This window comes from Homo sapiens, chromosome 5 (assembly GCF_000001405.40).
Source record: "Homo sapiens chromosome 5, GRCh38.p14 Primary Assembly".
NCBI classification, from domain to species: domain Eukaryota; kingdom Metazoa; phylum Chordata; class Mammalia; order Primates; family Hominidae; genus Homo; species Homo sapiens.
In genome coordinates, this window is record NC_000005.10 from 78,181,796 (window position 1) to 78,202,607 (window position 20,812).

The window sequence follows — 20,812 nt, forward strand, 5'->3', positions numbered from 1 at the left end:
AAAATATTACACAACCTATATCGAATAAAGGTCTATTGATTTTTCTCATATTTTATAACAAGTTACTGTGCTATAGATGATGTGCTTCTATTGTATTACAAAGTAAATTTTTGACTATTAAATCCCCATAGAAATACCTATAGTCCTTCAAAAGGAACACATGACCGTTAGATTTTAACAAGGCCTATAATACTACCTAAAACCTGAAAACTATTTCCATAAATTGTCAGCCACTCTGTAACTAGATCAAAGAGTCAAAAAAAGAGGAGCATTGTTTGAATAGTAACATAAAAGAAATCACAGTAAAGTGTGACACGAAAAAACTAGTGTTGTTAAGTAGGTCCCTGAGTTGTCAAGAAAACGTCTCAGTTTGAGATTTATAAATATCCAGAGGAGCTGATTCTAGGTTTTTGTTTTGAATTCTTTATCTCTGCCAATAAAATATGCCTACAGGCATTTAGTGCTCAAAACAAACAAACAAAAAACCAAACAAACACAGTAATAGCCACATACATCCAATTCAACTTCTGTTTAGAGGTAACTTCCGTTACCAAGTATCTGAAACATACTTTCTGCTTCCAGGAAGATGGAGTAGATGTACTTTTCCCCATCTCTCTCACTAAGTAGAGATCTAGAAAAGCAGAACACTACATGTAAAACATATATAAAACAAACATAAGAAGACTTTGAAAGGCAAAAAGGAGGAGCACTGGATAGGAACCTCAAGATCCAAAGAAAGACAGACCAGTGAGTTCCCTGGGTTTTCTTTTTATTTCATATATCCACAACTCGGTGCAGAAGCTGGCAACAAATGCAGATGAAAGAAACCACCAGAACCGCTCTCTCTAGCCAAAGGACCAGGAAAGGGGCAGTCTAGCAAGATATAAAACTTTTAGAAGTAACTACTCAAGTGCAGCCCAACACCAGATAAAAAATTATGGCCCTACCCCCATCCCCACCAGTAGAGGCTGAGATGGTGATCCTAGACTTCTACCCTTATTAGGCTGTAATGAGATGCCCCAACCACCTCACTAGGTGGTTTCAGAAAAGGCCAAGATGGGATTGAGAGTTTCATCTCTACCAAGAGGTAACAAGGCATTCTGATATTGTCAGTGAAGACCAAGTGAGGAGCTTGGACTTCTAAGCCCATCCATTAGTGTCAAGGTGACCTTATTCCTCCTCACTGTGATGATGTCAGAGGAGGCCTAGTGCATAGTCAGGACTTGCAGCACCACACCTAGTAGTAACCAAAGTCAGCCCCGCCCACACCCTGGTGGTTGTCAGGGAAGGACACACATAGAACAGTACCTTGTATCCCTCCTAGCAGACAGCTATCAGAGAAAGACGGTTGGGGAGCCAGAAATCCCACATTCACCTATGGTAACAATGAGTAAAATCCCTCTGAAGTGTCAGTGGAGGATAAGCAGGGAATCCGGACTCCTGCTATGACCTGGCAGTGATGAGACAGCACCCCTCTCTCTTTCCACCACCCTTCCCTGCTAGAGTGGTATCAAACAAAGCCAGTTAACCTGAAGGTTTAAAAATATCCAGTCTCAAAGTATCCAAAATGTCCAAGTTTCAATTAAAAAATCACTCATCATTCCAAGAGAAAGGAAGATCTCAAACTGAATAAAAATAGATAACTAGCAGATGCCAATACCAAGATAATAGAGATATTGGAATGATCTGATTATTTTTTAAAAATCATTAAAAAATGCTTCGATGAGCAATTGAGAACATCCTGGTAAAAAATACAGAAATAGAAGGTTTTAGCAAAGAATTATAAAGTCTAGACTGGGTGCAGTGACCCATGCCTGTCATCCCAGCACTCTGGGAGGCCGAGGTGGGCAGATCACCTGAGGTCAGGAGTTCAAGACCAGCCTGGCCAACATGGCGAAACCCTGTCTCACTAAAAATACAAAATTAGCCTGGCTGGTGGGGCACACCTGTAATCCCAGCTACTCGAGAGGCTGAGGCAGGAGAATTGCTTGAGCTCATGAGGCGGAGGTTGCAGTGAGCCAAGATCGCGCCATTGCCCTCCAGCCTGGGCAACAAGAGCAAAATTCCATCTTAAAAAAAAAAAAAAAAAAAAGGCCAGGCACAGTGGCTCACGCCTGTAATCCCAGCATTTTGGGAAGCCGAGGTGGGTGGATCACGAGATCAGGAGTTAGAGACCAGCCTGGCCAACATGGTGAAACTCCATCTCTACTAAAAATACAAAAATTAGCCAGGCATGGTGGTGGACGCCTGTAATCCCAGCTACTCAGGAAGCTGAGGCAGGAGACTCACTTGAACCCTGGGAGGCGGAGGTTGCAGTGAGTGGAGATTGCGCCACTGCACTCCAGCCTGGGTGACAGAGTGAGACTCCATCTCAAAAAAAAAAAAATTATAAAGTTTAAAGAAAGAAATAGAAGATATAAAGACCAAATAAAAACTGTTAACGACTGGCAAATACAAGAACCAAAACTAAAAACCTAATGAATGGGATCAAAAGCAGAGGAGGGGGACAAAAGAAATAATCAGTAAACTGGAACACAGAACAACAAGATTTACCCAATCTGAACAAAGATAAAATAGACTAGGGACAAAAAAAATCAAAACTAAAAAACAGGCCGGGTGCGGTGGCTCATGCCTGTAATCCCAGCACTTTGGGAGGCGAGGCGGGTGGATCACGAGGTCAGGAGATTGAGACCATCCTGGCTAACACGGTGAAACCCCGCCTCTACTAAAAAAATACAAAAAAGTAGCCAGGCATGGTGGTGGGTGCCTGTAGTCCCAGCTACTCGGGAGGCTGAGGCAGGAGAATGGCGTGAACCTGGGAGGCAGAGATTGCAGTAAGCCGAGATTGGCCACTGCACTCCAGCCTGGGTGACACAGCGAGACACTGTCTCAAAAAAAAAAAAACAGAGTCTCAGGGACCAGTGAAAATGCAACAAAAGACCTAACATTCCTTTCATCTATTAATCAATCCTGGAAGGAGAAGAGACAGAGGCAAGAGTTGAAAGAGAACTCAAAGAAATAATGACTGCAAACTTTTTAAATTTGGCAAATAAAACTACAAATTGAGGAAGCTGAGTAAACCCTAAACAGGATTAAACCCAAAGAAATCCAAAACAGCACACATTATAGTAAAACCTCTGAAAACTAAAGACAAAGAAAAACAAATCTTGAAAGCAGGAAAGGAGAAATGACACTTTACCAATAACAGAAAAACAAGTCTAATGACAGCAGATTTCTCATCAAAAACCATGGAGGACAGAACACAGTAGACCAACTGATGGAGAGGAACTATCAAAAGAGAATCTTATATCTAGCAAAAATATATTTCAGGAATGAAGGGGGAGAAAATCAAGACATTTTCAGATAAAGGGGAACTAGAGTATTTGTTATAAGCAGACCTATCCTGAAAGAATGGCTAAAGGAAGCTCTTTAGACAGAAAGGAAATGATAAAAGATGGAATCTTCAAACATCTGGAAGGAAGAAAGAATATGGCAAGGAAAAATATGAGTACATATAATAGTTTTTCCTTCTCCTCTGAGTCTTTTAAATTATATTAGATGGTTGAAGAAAAGTTATAACATTGATACGGTTCTAAATGCATGTAAAGGACATACCTAAGAAAACTATTTATAAAGTGGAGAGAAAAAAGAGATCAAAGGGAGCTAAGTGGTTAAAAAGTTTGCCCCTTGAAGTGTAACATGAGGACATCAGTAGACTGTGATGGTAAGATGATAAGTTATGCATGTAAAATGTAATACCTACAGCATCCACTAAAGAAGCTGCACAAAGAGATATATTCGTGCTTTGGTAGAAAGATTACTTAAGGCCAAGGTAGAAAGATTACTTAAGGCCAGGAGTTCTAGACCAGCCTGGGCAACAGAGCAAAACCTTGCCTCTACTACAAGTAAAAAAATAAAACAAAACTCAGCCATTCATGGGGGTATGTACCCATAGTCTTAGCTGCTCAGGAGGCTGAGGTGGGAGGATCACTGGAGCCCAATACTTTGAGGCTTCAATGAGCTATGATCAAGCCACTGTGCTCCAGCCTGGGTGACAGAGTGAGACCCTATCTCTAAAAAATTTCAAAAAAATAGGTTTTAATTAATAAAAAAAGAGATATATTCAAATTAACTGCAGATAAGCAAAGATGGAATTCTAAAAAATGTTGAAATAACCCACAGTTAAGAGAAATGAAGACTAGAGAGAACAAACAAAAAACAAAAAACTAAATGGGACGCTTAAGCCTTAAAAATAAATAATTAGATTAAATGTAAATCAGTATGCTGATTAAAAGACAAAGGCTGGCAAAGTAGATTAAAACCCATGACTCAACTATGTGCTGCCTATAAGAAATTCACCATAAACATAAAGATAAAGGCAGGTTAAAAGTAAAAAGATGGAAAAATACATAGCATGCTAATATTAATCAAGGGAAAGCACAATAACTATATTAATATGAGATAAAGTACACTTCAGAGCAAAGAAAATTACAACAGAGAAGGACATTATAGAATGACAAAATGGATAATCTACAATGAAGGTTATATACCATATAATTCCATTTATATAACATTCTTGAAATAACAAAACTATGGAAACAGAAAGATTAGCAGTTGCCAGGGGTTAAGGGTTGGGAGTAAGGTTAAACATGTGGAATAAAGTCGGTTTGGCTATGAAACGGCAACATGAAGATTCCCTGTGATGGAAATGTTCTCAGTTTTGACTGTATCAATGTCAATATCCTGGTTGTAATACTGTATTAGAGTTTTGCAAGACATTACCATTGGGGAAAATTGAGTAAAGGTTATGCCAGATCTCTCTCAATTATTTCTTAAAATTTCATGTGAATCTAAATTATCTTTTAAAAACCATTTAATTGAATAAAACTAAGGAGATAAAAATCAGTAAGTCACTTAAAAGCAATTTGTTGTATTTATGCATTGTTATACATAACAATAAAGAAAATTATCTAAAATGTTTTAGGTTAATATCACTTAAGTATTTTTCCCTTGCTAGGTGCCTACAGATTTTACACAATCTTTCCTTAAATCTTGACATAAATATCACTGGAAAACACCTTTCATCAAAAGTACAACTTTTAGGTCTCTCAGAATAGGAATAATATTAGCTCAGTGCTTTTTAAATCCACAGGCAAAAAAATCTTATAAAATTATTCAGAGAAAACTCACAAAATTTATACTCTTTGAAAACAAAAGTATTTCTACTAATACTCATCTTCAAAATTAAACTAGAAATCATAACATTATCACCTTCCTTTGAATACAGAATTCAAAACAAACACACTACTTGTCTTTTAGTGCTTAATAAAAAGACTATAAGTGAGATATACTTTTATATCAAAGCTGGACTTGAGTGACTATTCCTTTATGGAGCTCCAGGCTAAAGTAGTTCTGTTAAGTACATTAATAAACCAATAAAACACAAATAATTAAATGCTCTAAGCATAAGCACTCACTTACAATCTTAAGTCATGGTTAATTAAACAAATGTTCAAACTCTACCTGAAAGTGATACATAATGAAAGTGCTGTATTAACAGACATAGCACTATTACTAACAAAATCATCAAAATGTACATAAAAAACTGCTTTTTATAACCATCTACTCATTCCATTTCTTCCTCATTGTTAATTAACATACTGAGTTCAATTACATTATTTTAATGAAAGACACATATGTATTGCTTATTTTGCTGTACAAATGTTTAAGATTATGGCAGTATATTATAACAGTAAAACTACAAACCACTGCTCAAGGAAATCAAAGAGGACAAAAGCAGATGGAAAAATATTCCATGCTCATGGATAGGAAGTATCAATATCATGAAAATGGCCATCCTGCCCAAAGCAATTTATAGATTCAATGCTATTCCCATTAAACTACCATTGACATTCTTCACAGAACTAGAAAAAACTATTTTAAAATTCATATGAAACCAAAAGCAGCTCATGTAGCCAAGACAATGCTAAGCAAAAAGAACAAAGCTGGAGGCATCATGCTACCTGACTTCAGACTATACTACAAGGCCACAGTAACCAAAACAGCATGGTACTGGTACAAAAACAGTCACATAGACCAATGGAACAGAATAAAGAACTCAGAAATAAAACCACACATCTACAACCATCTGATCTTCAACAAATCTGACAAAAACAAGCAATGGGGAAAGGATTCCCTATTTAACAAGTGGTGCTGGGAGAACTGGCTAGCCATATGTGAAAAACTGAAACTGGATCCCTTCCTTACATCTTATACAAAAATTAACTCAAGATGCATTAAAGACTTAAATGTAAAACCCAAAACTATAAAAACCCTAGAAGAAAATCTAGGCAATACCGTTCAGGACATCAGCATGGACAAAGACTTTATGATGAAATTGCCAAAAGCAACTGCAACAAAAGCAAAAATTGACAAATGGGATCTAATTAAACTAAAGAGCTTCTGCACCGCAAACAAAACTATCATCAGAGCAAACAGACAACCTACAGAATGGGAGAACATTTTTGTAATCTGTCCATCTGACAAAGGGCTAATATCCAGAACCTACAAGAAACTTAAGCAAATTTACAAGAAACTAACAACCCCATTAAAAAGTGGGCAAATGGTATGAACAGACACTTCTCAAAAAAAGATATACATGCAGCCAAGAAACATATGAAAAATAGCTCAACATCTCTGATCATTAGAGAAATGCAAATCAAAACCACAATTAGATATCATTTCATACCACTCAGAATGGCAATTATTAAACACTCAAAAAACAGACGCTGGCCAGGCTGCGGAGAAATAGGAATGCTTTTACACTGTTGGTGGGTACATAAATTAGTACAATCATTGTTGAAGACAATGTGCTGATTCCTCAAAGATTTAGAACCAGAAATACCATGTGACCCAGCAATCCCATTACTGGGTATATACCCAAAAGAGTATAAATCATTCCATTATAAAGATATATGCACGCAAATGTTCACTGCAGCACTATTCACAATAGCAAAGACACAGAATCTACCCAAATGCCCATCAATGACAGACTACATAAAGAAAATGTGGTGCATATACACCATGGAATACTATGCAGCCATAAAAAGGAACGAGATAATGTCCTTTGCAGGGACATGGATGAAGCTGGAAGCCATCATTCTCAGCAAACTAATGCAGGAACAAAAAACCAAACACCACGTTCTCACTTATAAGTGAGAACTGAACAATGTGAACACATGGACACAGCGAGGGAACAACACTTACTGGGGCCTGTCAGGGCAGGGTTAGTGGGGAGAGCATTAGGGAAAAGAGCTAATGGATGCTGGGCTTAATACCTGGGTGATGGATTGATAGGTGCAGCAAACCACCATGGCACACGTTTACCTATGTAACAAACCTGCACATCCTGCACATGTACCCTGGAACTTAAAAAATAATAATAAAATTATTTAAAAAAAAATTTTTAAACTTATGTAAATGTTTCTATAGTGTCCTCTATGAACATACCATCATATAGGTTTTTGAGTTCACTTCCATAAGAAACATTTTTATATGGTTTGATTTTAATATGCATTTACAAAAATATGAACACTTTACAGAGGATTACTTGCACTACTGTATTTCTTCAATATGTATTTAATTGAAAGGATGGCATTTTTAATGACTATAATTAAAGGTCGATGAATCACTATCTTATTAAAATTTAGTAATATTTCATAACATACATGGTTCACAATTGATGCAACTGCTTCCTATTGATGAATTTTTTTACAGTTTTAAAAAATTATGCGGCCAGGCATGGTGGCTCACACCTATAATCCCAGCACTCTGGGAGGCCAAGGCAGGCGGATCACCTGAGGTCACGAGTTCAAGACCAACCTGCCCAACATGGTGAAACCCCATCTCTACTGAAAATACAAAAATTAGCCAGGCATAGTGGCACATGCCTATAGTCCAAGCTACTTGGGAGGCTGAGGCAGGAGAATCGCTTGAACCTGGGACACAGAGGTTGCAGTGAGCCAAGATCACGCCACTGCACTCCAGACTGGATGACAGAGCAAGACTCCATCTCAAATAAAATAAAATAAAATAAAATAAAATAAAATAAAATAAAATAAAATAAAATAAAATAAAATAAAATAAAAATTATGCAAACTAATAAAATATTAATAATAAAAAGATTTCAAAAGAGTAATTTTCTTTCATTAGTATCTTTTCCACATGATTCAATGATCTTATATTGCTACTAATAAAACTTCTACAAATTAACATATAATATTACAGAAATTGTAATTTCCTAAAATAAAAGGGATTATTTGAAATAACAAAGTTTTTATAATGGGATTATGAGCTAACAAACATGAAGAACATGTTGCTTATAGCTAAAATAGTTCATGTTAATTATCATTTAAAAACATTCCCCTCAGAAGAAATTCTCTTATACTTTTTATGAAATTTCAGTTTGGTTCTACTGCCATGAGAACATCATGACACAGCTTCTTAGATCCGGCTCTCCCAGTTACTAGCTATAGGCATGTACCAACTGCATAATTCTCTAAGTTGGAACCAAGCAGAGAAAAAATTGACAAGTGAAGGGTGGACGTTTTTATGAGGTTAATGAAATGAAGGAGATGAGGCTTTCTTGGAGGACAAGAATGAATCTCCAACAACATATTTGAATCTGTACTACTGTGGACTATGTTTCTCAGGTTTTTAATGAATCAGAACAGGCATTAGTCCAAACAGAATGGATACGTACACAGCATATGGGTGTATCTGGACACACCAGTTCAATATAAGTGCTGGCTCTATGACCATGACAAATCACTCAACCTTTCCTTGTCTTGATTTTTTTCCTTGTCTTGGTTTACTCATCTATAAAAGCAGTAACTATATCATTATAGTGTTTATAAAGATTGAATCAGTTTATTGAACATTATACAAGCACTTAGTGCCTGATACAAATTAAAGTACACAAACAGTAGCTATTGCCACTGCTTCTATTATTAAGAAACTTTCTTTCTAGAAGCCATGTAATTGAAACTATTACTATGCCTCAAATTCAATATCCCTAGATGCCAAATATGAAAAAAAGTTTCCCCCCTAAAATTATCCCTCAGAAAGAAGTTGCCTCATACTTGAGGATTTATAAATGTATTATGAGGCTCTTACACAACTGCTTCATTTTGAACCATAATGTATTGTTTGGGGAACTCATTACACTGAAACAACTTCAATCAATGCTAGTTATGGATGCTTAAAAGGAGTCACAAATCACAGTGATAAAAGATGTCATTTTTAACTAAGCCTTTAGAGAACACTTTTTAAAAACACATAATATAAGATTATATAGTTCTATTTCTAAGAATGGCTAAACAGACAACTTAGAACAACCGCCTGTCAGTGAGAACTAGAAAAGCTGGGGAAAAGTTAAGAAACCTGTTAGAAGGCACTGGAGGGCTAAAAAAACAGTGATGAATTATGCAGACAAGACCCAGAAGAAGTAGTAAATCTAGAAACCTAGAATTCTGATTGGCTTTTGGAATTGCTTTTCCCCAAAAAAAAAAAAAAAAAAAAAAAGGATGTGTTAATTAGACAAGAGGAAGCTGAGAGGCCTAAAAGCTCAGTAGAGCTTTCAGCAGGTTAACAAAAATGCAGTAACAAAAGGTGAGGCCAGGATCCGCCAAAAATTACAATCCTGCTAACTCTCCTAGTCTTTGGTTTAAAATATAAAATCTATGTCTTGGGGAGTAACGATGGTCAGATAAAAGCCCAGCTTAAATCATCTCAATCCATAATTGAGGTGATAAGTGAACTCAAGATTGTTGAATCCATTCCCTAGAACCACAAGTAGAACAAAATCCATCATCCAAAGCTTCAAACTAGTCCAACAACTTATCAGAAAGGAAATGCTGGTATCACTAAGGGTAAGGATACTGTTTCCTTCTGTAAGGAAAAGCAGATTATTAAGTGAAGGGTATCAAGAAGGGGGCTTATGAAGTATACTGATAATTACTGTTTCTCAATCTAGGTATTTGATACATAGGTGTATTCAGTTTGTGAAAATATATAGTCATTTGCAGTATATGTTTCGCTCTTATTGCCCAGGCTGGAGTGCAATGGCGCGATCTCGGCTCACTGCAACCTCCGCCTCCTGGGTTCAAGCAATTCTCCTGCCTCAGCCTCCTGAGTAGCTAGGGTTACAGGCATGCACCACCACACCCGGCTAATTTTGTATTTTTAGTAGAGACAGGGTTTCTCCACGTTGGTCAGGCTGGTCTCGAACTCCCAACCTCAGGTGATCCGCCCGCCTCGGCTTCCCAAAGTGCTGGGATTACAGGTGTGAGCCACTGCACCCAGTCTGCAGTATATATTTCTACTTCAACAAAATGTCTTTAAAATAAGCATACAAGAAAAAAAGACAAAAATGTAAATATAAACCAAGAGAAAAAAAAGCAAAAATAGGGAATCTAGAAAATGAATTTGGCAGATGTAATTTTAAGTGAACTATATTATGAACTGAATGATTCTGCCCTCCCACAAATTCATATAATGAAATCCTAGGCCAGGCGCAGTGGCTCACACCTGTAATCCCAGCACTTTGGGAGCCAAGGCGAGTGGATCACCCGAGGTCAGGAGTTCGAGACAAGCCTGGCCAACATGGTGAAACCCTGTCTCTACTAAAAATACAAAAATTAGCCACACATGGTGGCACACACCTGTAATCCCAGCTACTCCAGAGGCTGAGGTAGAAGAATCACTTGAACCTGGGAGGCGGAGGTTGCAGTGAGCCAAAATTGCGCCACTGCACTCCAGCCTGGGCGGCAGAGCAAGACACTATCTCCAAAAAAAGAAAGAAAGAAAGAAATCCTAATCCCCAGTGTGATGGTATTAGGATAGGAGATGGGGCCTTTGAAAGGTGATTAGGTCATGAAGACGGAACTCTCATAAATGGAATTAGTGGCATTACAAAATGAACCTCAGAGAGCTTTCTGGCCTTTTTTCCATCATGTGAAGAAGACAGTCATCTATCTATGAACCAAGAAGTAGACCCTCACCAGATACCAAATCTGTCAGAGCCTTGATCCCGTACTCCCAGTCTCCAGAACTGTGAGAAATAAATGTTTGTTGTTTAACTCATCCAATCTAGGACATTTTTGTTACAGTAGCCCAAACTAAGACAGACTATAAAACAACTATGATTAATATGTTCAAGGAATTAAGTGGTAGGATCGAGCTTTACGGCAGATAATGCAACATAACACAATTTTTCAGAAAACTCAGATATATTTTTATATTGTGTTTAAATAAAGTGCTAGACTTTCAGTGACCACTTACAGAGTTCTTTAAATTCAGTAATATTTTAAAAATTTCAATTTAACTGATTTTACCTTTGTGATACTTTTGACATATCAGATAAAGATTTGTGGTCTGTTAGAGATAATAGCCTAGATACTTAAGTAAGTTAAGTAGAGGAATCAAAGTTTATATCTGAGAGGACTCTGAATGGTTTTAAAAGTAATCATTCTTATTTAACATGTTAACTATATGATGAAATGAATTTTACTTTCTCCTTGTCCAGAAACAGAATAGTTAAATAAGACAAACAAGATATATTAAGGAAAATGTTTAGTCTGCTTAAGAGTAAAAATAAATGAATTTGAAAGACTTTGAAATCTACTTTATAGTAAGTTTCCACTTATTCCACTTGGTATACTAACCATACTTCATATACACAAAAGAGAATTCTAATATCTAATTTTAATATTCCCTCCATTTGTATTTGAAAGTTTTTAGAAATATTCTGTTTTTAGTAGAACTGCTTAATCTTCTGAGCTTATTCTATATCCTCAAATATATACATATTTATATATATTTATATATTTACATATATATTTTTAAATATTTATATATTTACATATTTTTAAATATTTGTATATATTTTTTTATATATATATATATATATATATATATTTTTTTTTTAGACAGAGTCTCGCTCTGTCACCCTGGCTGGAGTGCAGTGGCGTGATCTCGCTCACTGCAAGCTCCCGGGTTCACGCCATTCTCCTGCCTCAGCCTCCCGAGTAGCTGGGACTACAGGCACCTGCCACCACACCCGGCTAATTTTTTCAGCTAATTTTTTGTATTTTTAGTAGAGACGGGGTTTCACCGTGTTAGCCAGGATGGTCTCAATCTCCTGACCTCATAATCCGCCCACCTCAGCCTCCCAAAGTGCCTGGATTACAGGCGTGAGCCACCACTCCTGGCCCAAATATATTTCTTAACTAGACATTGATATTAGGCAGTCTCAATTAATACATCTATGAATTTGAAACAAAGTAGAAAAACCCCTTATGTAGCTAGCATGGCTGTTATGAAGCCTTTAAATATTATTTTATGTATGAAGCCCTTATTTTTAGTATATTATGCATATCATTTCAACCATCTTGATATTCTGATTTCTTGTTATACAGATAATAAAAGACACAATTTTAAAAGAAAACAGTAAAAATTATATTTTCCATTGCCAAGGGACAAGAAAAATGTGTTTTACAAATGCATGAAAAGGTTTAAAAAAATCAATTATTATACATGTTGTTTCTATTGAGCCTACAGAAATGAGGCATTATCATACATGGGATTTCTAATTCGTACTAATTAAAATGTTTTATATTGTGGTTTCAGTTTTTCTATACAACCATTAAGTAATGCCAACTTTGCTCCAATATAATACTATTACTATTACAAAAAGACAGAACCATCTGACTGAAATCTAAGACAGAAAACATTACTTCTAAGGCCATAAAACCTGCTCTTTTACATGGAAACATGACTGGTTCTAGAGCTAAGGCAGTTAAAACAACTAATAAATAAATAAATGAGGGAGAAATGACAGATCTTCCTTACAAAATAATTCTAAGTGACTATGCTAAATCATGTGAATGAGTACTCAAAGTCTGAAACATATTTCTATGACAGCATTGTATCCATATTCCAAGGTAATGTGTATCTCCAAAAATCCAGACAGAAGTAAAGATGCTTTCCAATGGAAAACTATTAAATGAAAATGACTCAAAAAGGAGTCCTCAAAATGTCTCTAAAATATATGTGATAAAACTATTTCATAAAATGAGTATAAAATGTTCTATTTATAAATGAATGTTTTATTTTTCCATGTTTAAAATATGTACATGTATGAAATGAAATACTACCATAGAATACTTTTTTTAGTTTCTTTAAAAATATACATTTAAGCTGGACCAAACCAAAAAAAAAAAAAATTTAAAAAAATGGGGACCAATTTATACTGGAGAAGGCTTTGCAGTTTCTTTAAAGCAAAGATAATGTTTTATAAATACACTCTCAATAGAAATGAAATTATATGATATCTAAAATTTTACATGAAATCTTGGAATGGGGTAAGGTAGCAAAACGAGAGCAGCCATGAGCTGATGAACAGTGCAGCTACGTGATGTATACATAGGGATTCGTTGAACTGTCAGCCATACTTTTATGTATGTTTAAAGTTTCCCATAATCAAGACTTACTGTAAAGCTACACATATCAAGACAGTGTGGTATTTGTGAAATAACAGAGAAAAACATCAGTGGAACAGAAGAGAAAGCCTAGAAACAGACTCTCATAAATACAGCCAACTGCTTTCACAAAAGAGCCAAGACAATACGATGGAGAAAAGATAGTCGTTCAACAAATGATGCTGGAACAAACGAAGAGTCACAGGCCAGGCGCAGCGGCTCACGCCTGTAATCCCAGAACTTTGGGAAGCTGAGGAGGGCAGATCACGAGGTCAGGAATTAGAGACCAGCCTGACCAACATGGTAAAACCCTGTCTCTAATAAAAATACAAAAAAATTAGCTGGGTGTGGTGATGCACACCTGTTATCCCAGCTACTCAGGAGGCTGAGGCAGGAGAATTGCTTGAACCCGGGAGGTGGAGGCTGCACTGAGCTGAGATCATGCCACTGCACTCCAGCCTGGGCGACAAAGCAAGACTCCATCTCAAAAAATAAAAATAAAAATAAAAATAAATCTAGACACAGACCTTACAATCTTCACAAAAATTAACTCAAAATGGGTCACAGACCTAAATGTAAAACACAAAACTATAAAACTTTTAGAGGTTAACATAGGAATCTAGATGACCTTGGGTATGGCAACTTTTAGATACAATACAAAAGACATGGATCTGTGGAAGAAATAATTGATAGGCTGGACTTCATTAAAATTTAAAACTTTTGCTATGCAAAAGACAAGGTCAAAAGAATTTGAAGACAAGCCACAGACTGGGAGAAAATATTTGCCAAAGACATATCTGATAAAGGACTGTTATCCAAAATATACAAAGAGTTCCTAAAATTCAACAATAACAGCCCAATTTTTTAAAAATGGGCTGAAGACCTGAAGAGATACCTCACCAAAAAACATACACAAATGGCAAATAAACATATAAAAACATGTTCAAAACCATGTCATTAGGGAATTGCTAACTAAAACCAATGATATACTATAACACATTTATTAGAATGGACAAAATCCAGAAACTTGATAACTCCGTATACAGACAAGGATATAAAGTGACAGGAACTCTCATTCATTGCCGATGGGAATGCAAAATGGTACAGCCACTCTGAAAGGCAACTTTGCAGTTTCTTACCAAAGTAAACATACTCTTACCAAACAATCCAGCAATCACACTCCTTGATATCTACCCAAAAAAGCTGAAAAGATGTCCACACAAAAGCCTGCACATGGATACAGCAGCTTTATTCCTCATTGCCAAAACTAGAAAGTGCTCAAAATGTCTTTCAGTAGGTGAGTGGATAAATAAACTGTGGTATATCCAGACAAAGGACTAGTATTCAGTGCTAAAAATAAATGAGCTAACAAGCTATGAAAAGACATGGAGACAACTTAAATGCATATTACAATATAAGTGAGAGAATCCAATCTGAATAGGTTACATATTGTATGATTCCAGCTATATGATATTTTGGAAAAGGCAAACTATGTAGACATTAAAAAGACTAGTGACTGCCAGGAGCTGGTGGGGAGGGAGGGATGAACAAGTAGAGCATAGAGAATTTTTAGGGCAGCAAAACTATTGTGTATGATAAAACACAATGGTGTATTCATGTTATCATATATCAGACAAAATCCGAAGAATGTACAACACCAAGGATGAACCCTAATGTAAACTGTGGACTTTGGGTGACAACAATATTAATGTAAATTCATTGATCGTAATGTAAAATGTTGATGGTGGGGGATGTTTTGCATGTGTGGAGGTAGAGGATATATAAGAAATCCCTGCACCTTCAACTAAGTTTTACCGTAAACTTATAACTGCTCCAAAAAATAAAGCTTATTTTTATTTTTAAGAAAGCAGTGAGTTTAATATATCTGAACCTATCTTATATAAAAATAGGTCTCTCTCTGCTATGTTTACCAACCACCCTAATGCTAGTGAAAAAAAAAATCAGAATAAAATATAGCTTTTCACTTTGCTCTAAAACATTCACTTTCAGAAGAGACAAACGTTGTTACATTACATATAAGCTTTATGAAGGCAAAAAATAACTCCATGAAGTATATTTTGGAAAAGGCATGGTTTATATACTCTTAAGGTACTATTCCACAGGCTCATGGAATAAAGAAAAGTGTGAAATTATACTTAAGTAGTAGTACTTTCTACATATTTTGTATCTGAAGCTCTAAACATAAATGTTCACAAAAATAGTAATAAGTCAGTAACTGAACCCACAATTTTGGGTGCTGAGGGTAATATTTACTTTTCAAAGAGATCTTAAGATACAGGGAGACTTATTTTATCTGAATGGATTTCCTAAGAAATAAACACAAACTATGATCTTTTGTCAGTTCATAAGGAATAATAGAAAAATAAAAAATGAAATTAATGACAGTTAAAACTGCCTACAGCAAAATATTTTTATGTATAAAAATTGATAAAGGAATCAAACATTCCTGAAAAATATCTACTTTTGTATCATGTGAGCAGTAACAATGGACTTAGTAGAAATAAAAAACAACTTCAGCTTAAGAAACTTCTAGTATTAATAAAACACTTGCACAAATACCTCTTTGAAACCTGAGAACCACCCCATGTGGTAAACAAAGCAGGTATTTACTATCTTTTTCACAGATGAAAGAACTGAGGTGCACACAATTTACATAAATTATCAATAGTCACAGAGATTAAAAATGGTAGAGCCAGGATTTGAACTCGGGAATTATTATTCTTTATCCTGTCACCTCTCACCTTTATTACCTTGGCATTTAGAGTAGTCACATAAAAGACACTGAATATACCCACTTGCCTTCTGAATTCCAAGGCAGCCTGAAGGGTGCTAGTGCCATCTCAAGATTTACACCAGGATGAAACAATCTCTGCAACCTGCTGTGGCCTGAGACTCTTGCAAAATGTTTAAAAGTGACTTTAACACATCATGACATTCCCACATAATCTAAGACACTGCACTAGTCAACTCAGGCTGTTATAACAAAATACCACAGGGTAGGTGCCTGAAACAAGAGACATTTATTTCTCACAGTTCTCGGGGCTGAAAAGTCCAAGATCAAGGGGCAGGTGATTCAATTCATGGTGAAGGCCCTCCTCCTGGTGTGTGGACAGCTACCTCATATGGTGGAAGAGAGGAAGCAAGCTTCTTAGAAGGGCACTAATCCCATTATGAGGTCCCCACTCTCATGACTTCCTCTAAACTTCATTACCTCCCAAAAGCTAAAGTAACCTGAGGCATTGCCTTTAAGAATACCAACTTTTATCCATCTCTAAATATCATCACCCTGGGGCTAAGTCTTCAAATATGCACTCAGAGGGGATGCAAACATTCAGTCCATAGCACATACCACAGCAGTATATTGTGTTACATCTCTCTGACATTAGGTTAGATGTACCTGACAAGACCAGGGTGGGTAGGTGGTAACTAATATAATAATCACTCAGTCAAATTAGTTACTAAGCAGGAAGAGAATACATTATTAGAGATAATTCACTGGAAAAAAATTCACGTTTAATAAAACTTTTAATTTAGTATTTTTCACAAAGAAGAAAAAGTCTCCTTCCCCAAAATTTGTGTCTATGTAAAACAACAAAGGATATGCATACTGGTTTGAGATTTTTTTTCCTTCTGTGAAGAAACTGCTATGCTATACACTTTACATGTTTTATATCACAGCCCAGTGACCACTATACTACACAGGTGGAAGTGTGGGTTTGAGGACCATTGAACACTGAATCTCCCCCAATACATCACAATTATAGAAACACCTGTGCACAGTAACTTTGTGTTGAGCCACTATGAAACTTCAGTGTTCAATTGCCCACAACACATCTCATTTCTTATGACTAGATTCAGCTCTAGTATGTAAGAAACAAGCTTTCTGAATGCAGCAGTTTCCAAACTTTGTACTGAGAAATCTAGAGGATCTATAATAAAGCATTTTTCAAATTTTCTGAAATAAAATATGCTCATGAAACATGTTGAACTTAGGTCTAAGGGTTTCAAGACATGAGAAATAAGGGTCCTACTTATTTAAAAACTAAATAATGTAGATCCAGTGATGGGGAAGAAAATAGAAACATTTTTTGTTAAGCAAAATTCATTTTAGAGTAGTTTTCATTTGATCATAAATTATGAAACAAAATTACAATGATCCTAAGTAGAACTAATCATGATTCCTCATGTATTCATTCTCTCCATACCTTAATCTCTAAAATAAAAAGTTTATATTAGAGACAGGAAAGTAAATGTGTGTTGAATTGAAACTGATGTTTAATTCTCCTCTAGGGCATAAAAACAAATGGGTTAAAGCAGAGGTTTTACAATATTTGTGGACAACCTAAGAAGGAGGGCGATTAATTAAAAGTTCCTTTTGTTTAATACTATGAAGAACTCTTAATACATAAAACAGGAAAAAAACTTATATTCTAGGTAAAGGGAGGGTAGAAAACTAGATCTCCACAAAACACCAACTTAACATTTTAAAAAAGAAAAAACAGAAATAATTGGAATATAAAAGGTTTTTATATAAAGTTTCAAAAAGGGACTATTTATTCTTCATTATTTCCAAAATATTCTTGTATCTAAATTATAGGATACACTGAGTCACTGGGGAAAAAAATCATATAAACAAGTTATTTTTTAAAATATGAAGATAACCAGTAGAAGACAAAGCCAAAAGAGATCTGTTTGCCTTTGGAGAGTAACCACTGGAGGTAAGACGGGGAAGGGAACATGCTTACTATAGAACCCTACAGAAATGAAAACATATGCTTACACAAACACCTGTGGCACTGGAGGCAAAGATGACAGCTCCATGGGTGTACAGGAGTCATCATTCAAACATAAATGGGTGCAATCTGTGACTGCCAAGCAGGGGGAGGGGGGACAAGGGGAATGGGTGTGTAACAGAAGGGTTCAAGGAGGCTCCAACCTTGATTTTTGATTTTTTTCTAACCCTTCAATTATCTAGTTATGGTTTTTGAGGATAAAAGGACTAAGTTTTCTAACCTCAAACCATCTCAGAATTAAATAGTTATTCTGTAATCCCAGCACTTTGGGAGGCTGAGGCAGGCGAATCACTTGAGCTCTGGAGTTCAAGACCAGCCTGAGCAACATGGTGAAACCCCATCTCTACTAAAAAGACAAAAAATTAGCCAGGCATGGCAGTGTGTGCCTGTAGTCCTAGCTACTTGGGAGACTGAGATAGGAGGATCACTTGGTCCTGGGAGGTTGAGGCAGCAGTGAGATGGCATTACTGCACCCCAACCTGGGCAACAGAGACCCTGCCTCATTAAAAACAACAACAAAAAAGTATTGAATAATTCTTTATTAGAATACCACTAAGAGAACTCATTTTAAAATATCAGAAAACCCAACAGAATGGCCAAAATGAATAACATTAACGTTACCAAATGTTGGTGAGGATGTGGAGCAAACAAAATCTCCATATGTCACTGTAAGGTTTACAGCTTGGTTGTTATGGGCCAAACTGTGCCCCCCAACCCTAAATTCTTATGTTGAAGCCTTAACCTCCAAATATGACTATATTTGGAGACAGGGCCTTTAAAGAGGTGTTTACATTAAAATGAGGCCATTAGGGTGGGCCCTAATACAATGTGACTAGTGTCCTAATAAAAGAAGGAAATCTGGATACTCAGGAAAACCCTAGGAATATGCGGACACAGTGAGAAGATGGCCACCTGTAAGCAAAGGACAGAGGCCTCAAGAGAAACCAAACCTGCCAACACCTTGAGATCTTGCACTTCTAGATATCAGAACTGTGAGAAAATAAATTTCTGTTGTTTAAGCCACCCAATCTGTGGTATTTTGTCATGGCAACTGTAGCAAACTAAAACAATAATACAACTACTTTGGGAAAAAGACTGACAGGTTCTTGCGGAACCAAAATATATCCACCTTATGATCCAATAATTCTATATCTAGGTATTGACCCAACATATACAAAAACATAAAAAGATTTGTGCAAGAATGTTCCTAACAGATTTATTACAATAGGCAAAACACTGGAAATAGCCCAGTATTTATTAATATGAGAATGGATAAACTATGGAATATTCATACAATAGACTATTATTCAGCAAAATAACACTGAAAATATTATTTTGAAGATGCTAAAAATGAACTACTAATACAATGTGGATCAATCTCCAAAATATTATGCTGAGTAAAGGAAGATGTACCAAAAAGAATACAATATGACTCTAATTATATTAAGCTCTACAACAAGTTAAATTAATCTTTGTTATCAGTAAACAATGTTCCATGATTATATTCATGTTTTTGCATGATCAGGACTTCCTGAGCAAAGAGTGCTGGCAACCTGGATTAACAGACGAGTAAATGGCAAATGAGTCTTGGAAGTTAAAGACAGACAGAGAGACATCCAAGGAGATGTATGGGTTTATCTTCCATCATTTAAATTCCACAGGGTAATGGAAAAAGAGACGTTGTCCTCCTCTCCCCAGAAAAAATGTGTTTACATTAGAAAGATAAGGTAACTATCCCTCTCTCTACACAGGGGAGGAGGAGCGATGCAAAAGCAGTCCTATATAAGCTCTGAGATGTATACAGTCTGATATGGTTTGGCTGTGCCCCCACCCAAATCTCATCTTCAACTGTTAACTCCCACAATTGCCATGTGTCGTGGGAGGAACCCAGTGGGAGGTAATTGAATCATGGGGGTAAGTCTTTCCCGTGCTATGTTCGTGAATAAGTCTTATAAGATCTGATGGTTCTAAAAAGGGGAGTTTCCCTGCACAAGCTCTCTCTTCTCTTGTCTGCCACCATGTGAGACGTGCCTTTCACCTTCCACCATGATTGTAAGGCCTCCCCAGCCACGTAGAACTGTAAGTCCAATAAACCTTTTTCTTTTGTAAATTGCCCAGTCTCAGGGATGTCTTTATTGGCAGCATGAAAATGGACTAATACACAATCCTATATAAATTCTGAGATTCATTTATTTAGGAGGAGCTCCTCTCCTGTATTACAACTCCCCATCCCCCAAGATATACAGATGGCACTAACCCTCATAACATCACCCTCATGGGGAACTGAAGTGCAGGAAAGTGACACTAAGATAACCATGAGTAAATAAAAAGTCTCTTCTCTGATCCACACATCAGTGTTTCTGCTTTTGTGTGTGTACATACACTAAACATATGCCATATATTCAGTGTGTGTGTGTGTGTGTGTGTGTGTGTGTGTGTGTGTGTATAAATGCAGGAGTA

At 36.3% G+C, this 20,812-nt stretch overlaps 1 protein-coding gene across 3 annotated transcripts in view; it reads right to left on the bottom strand.

Annotated features, from left to right (window-relative positions):
- Positions 1-20,812, bottom strand: part of AP3B1 (adaptor related protein complex 3 subunit beta 1) — a 294,177-nt gene that overhangs the window by 181,274 nt on the left and 92,091 nt on the right. The window lies entirely within an intron of this gene.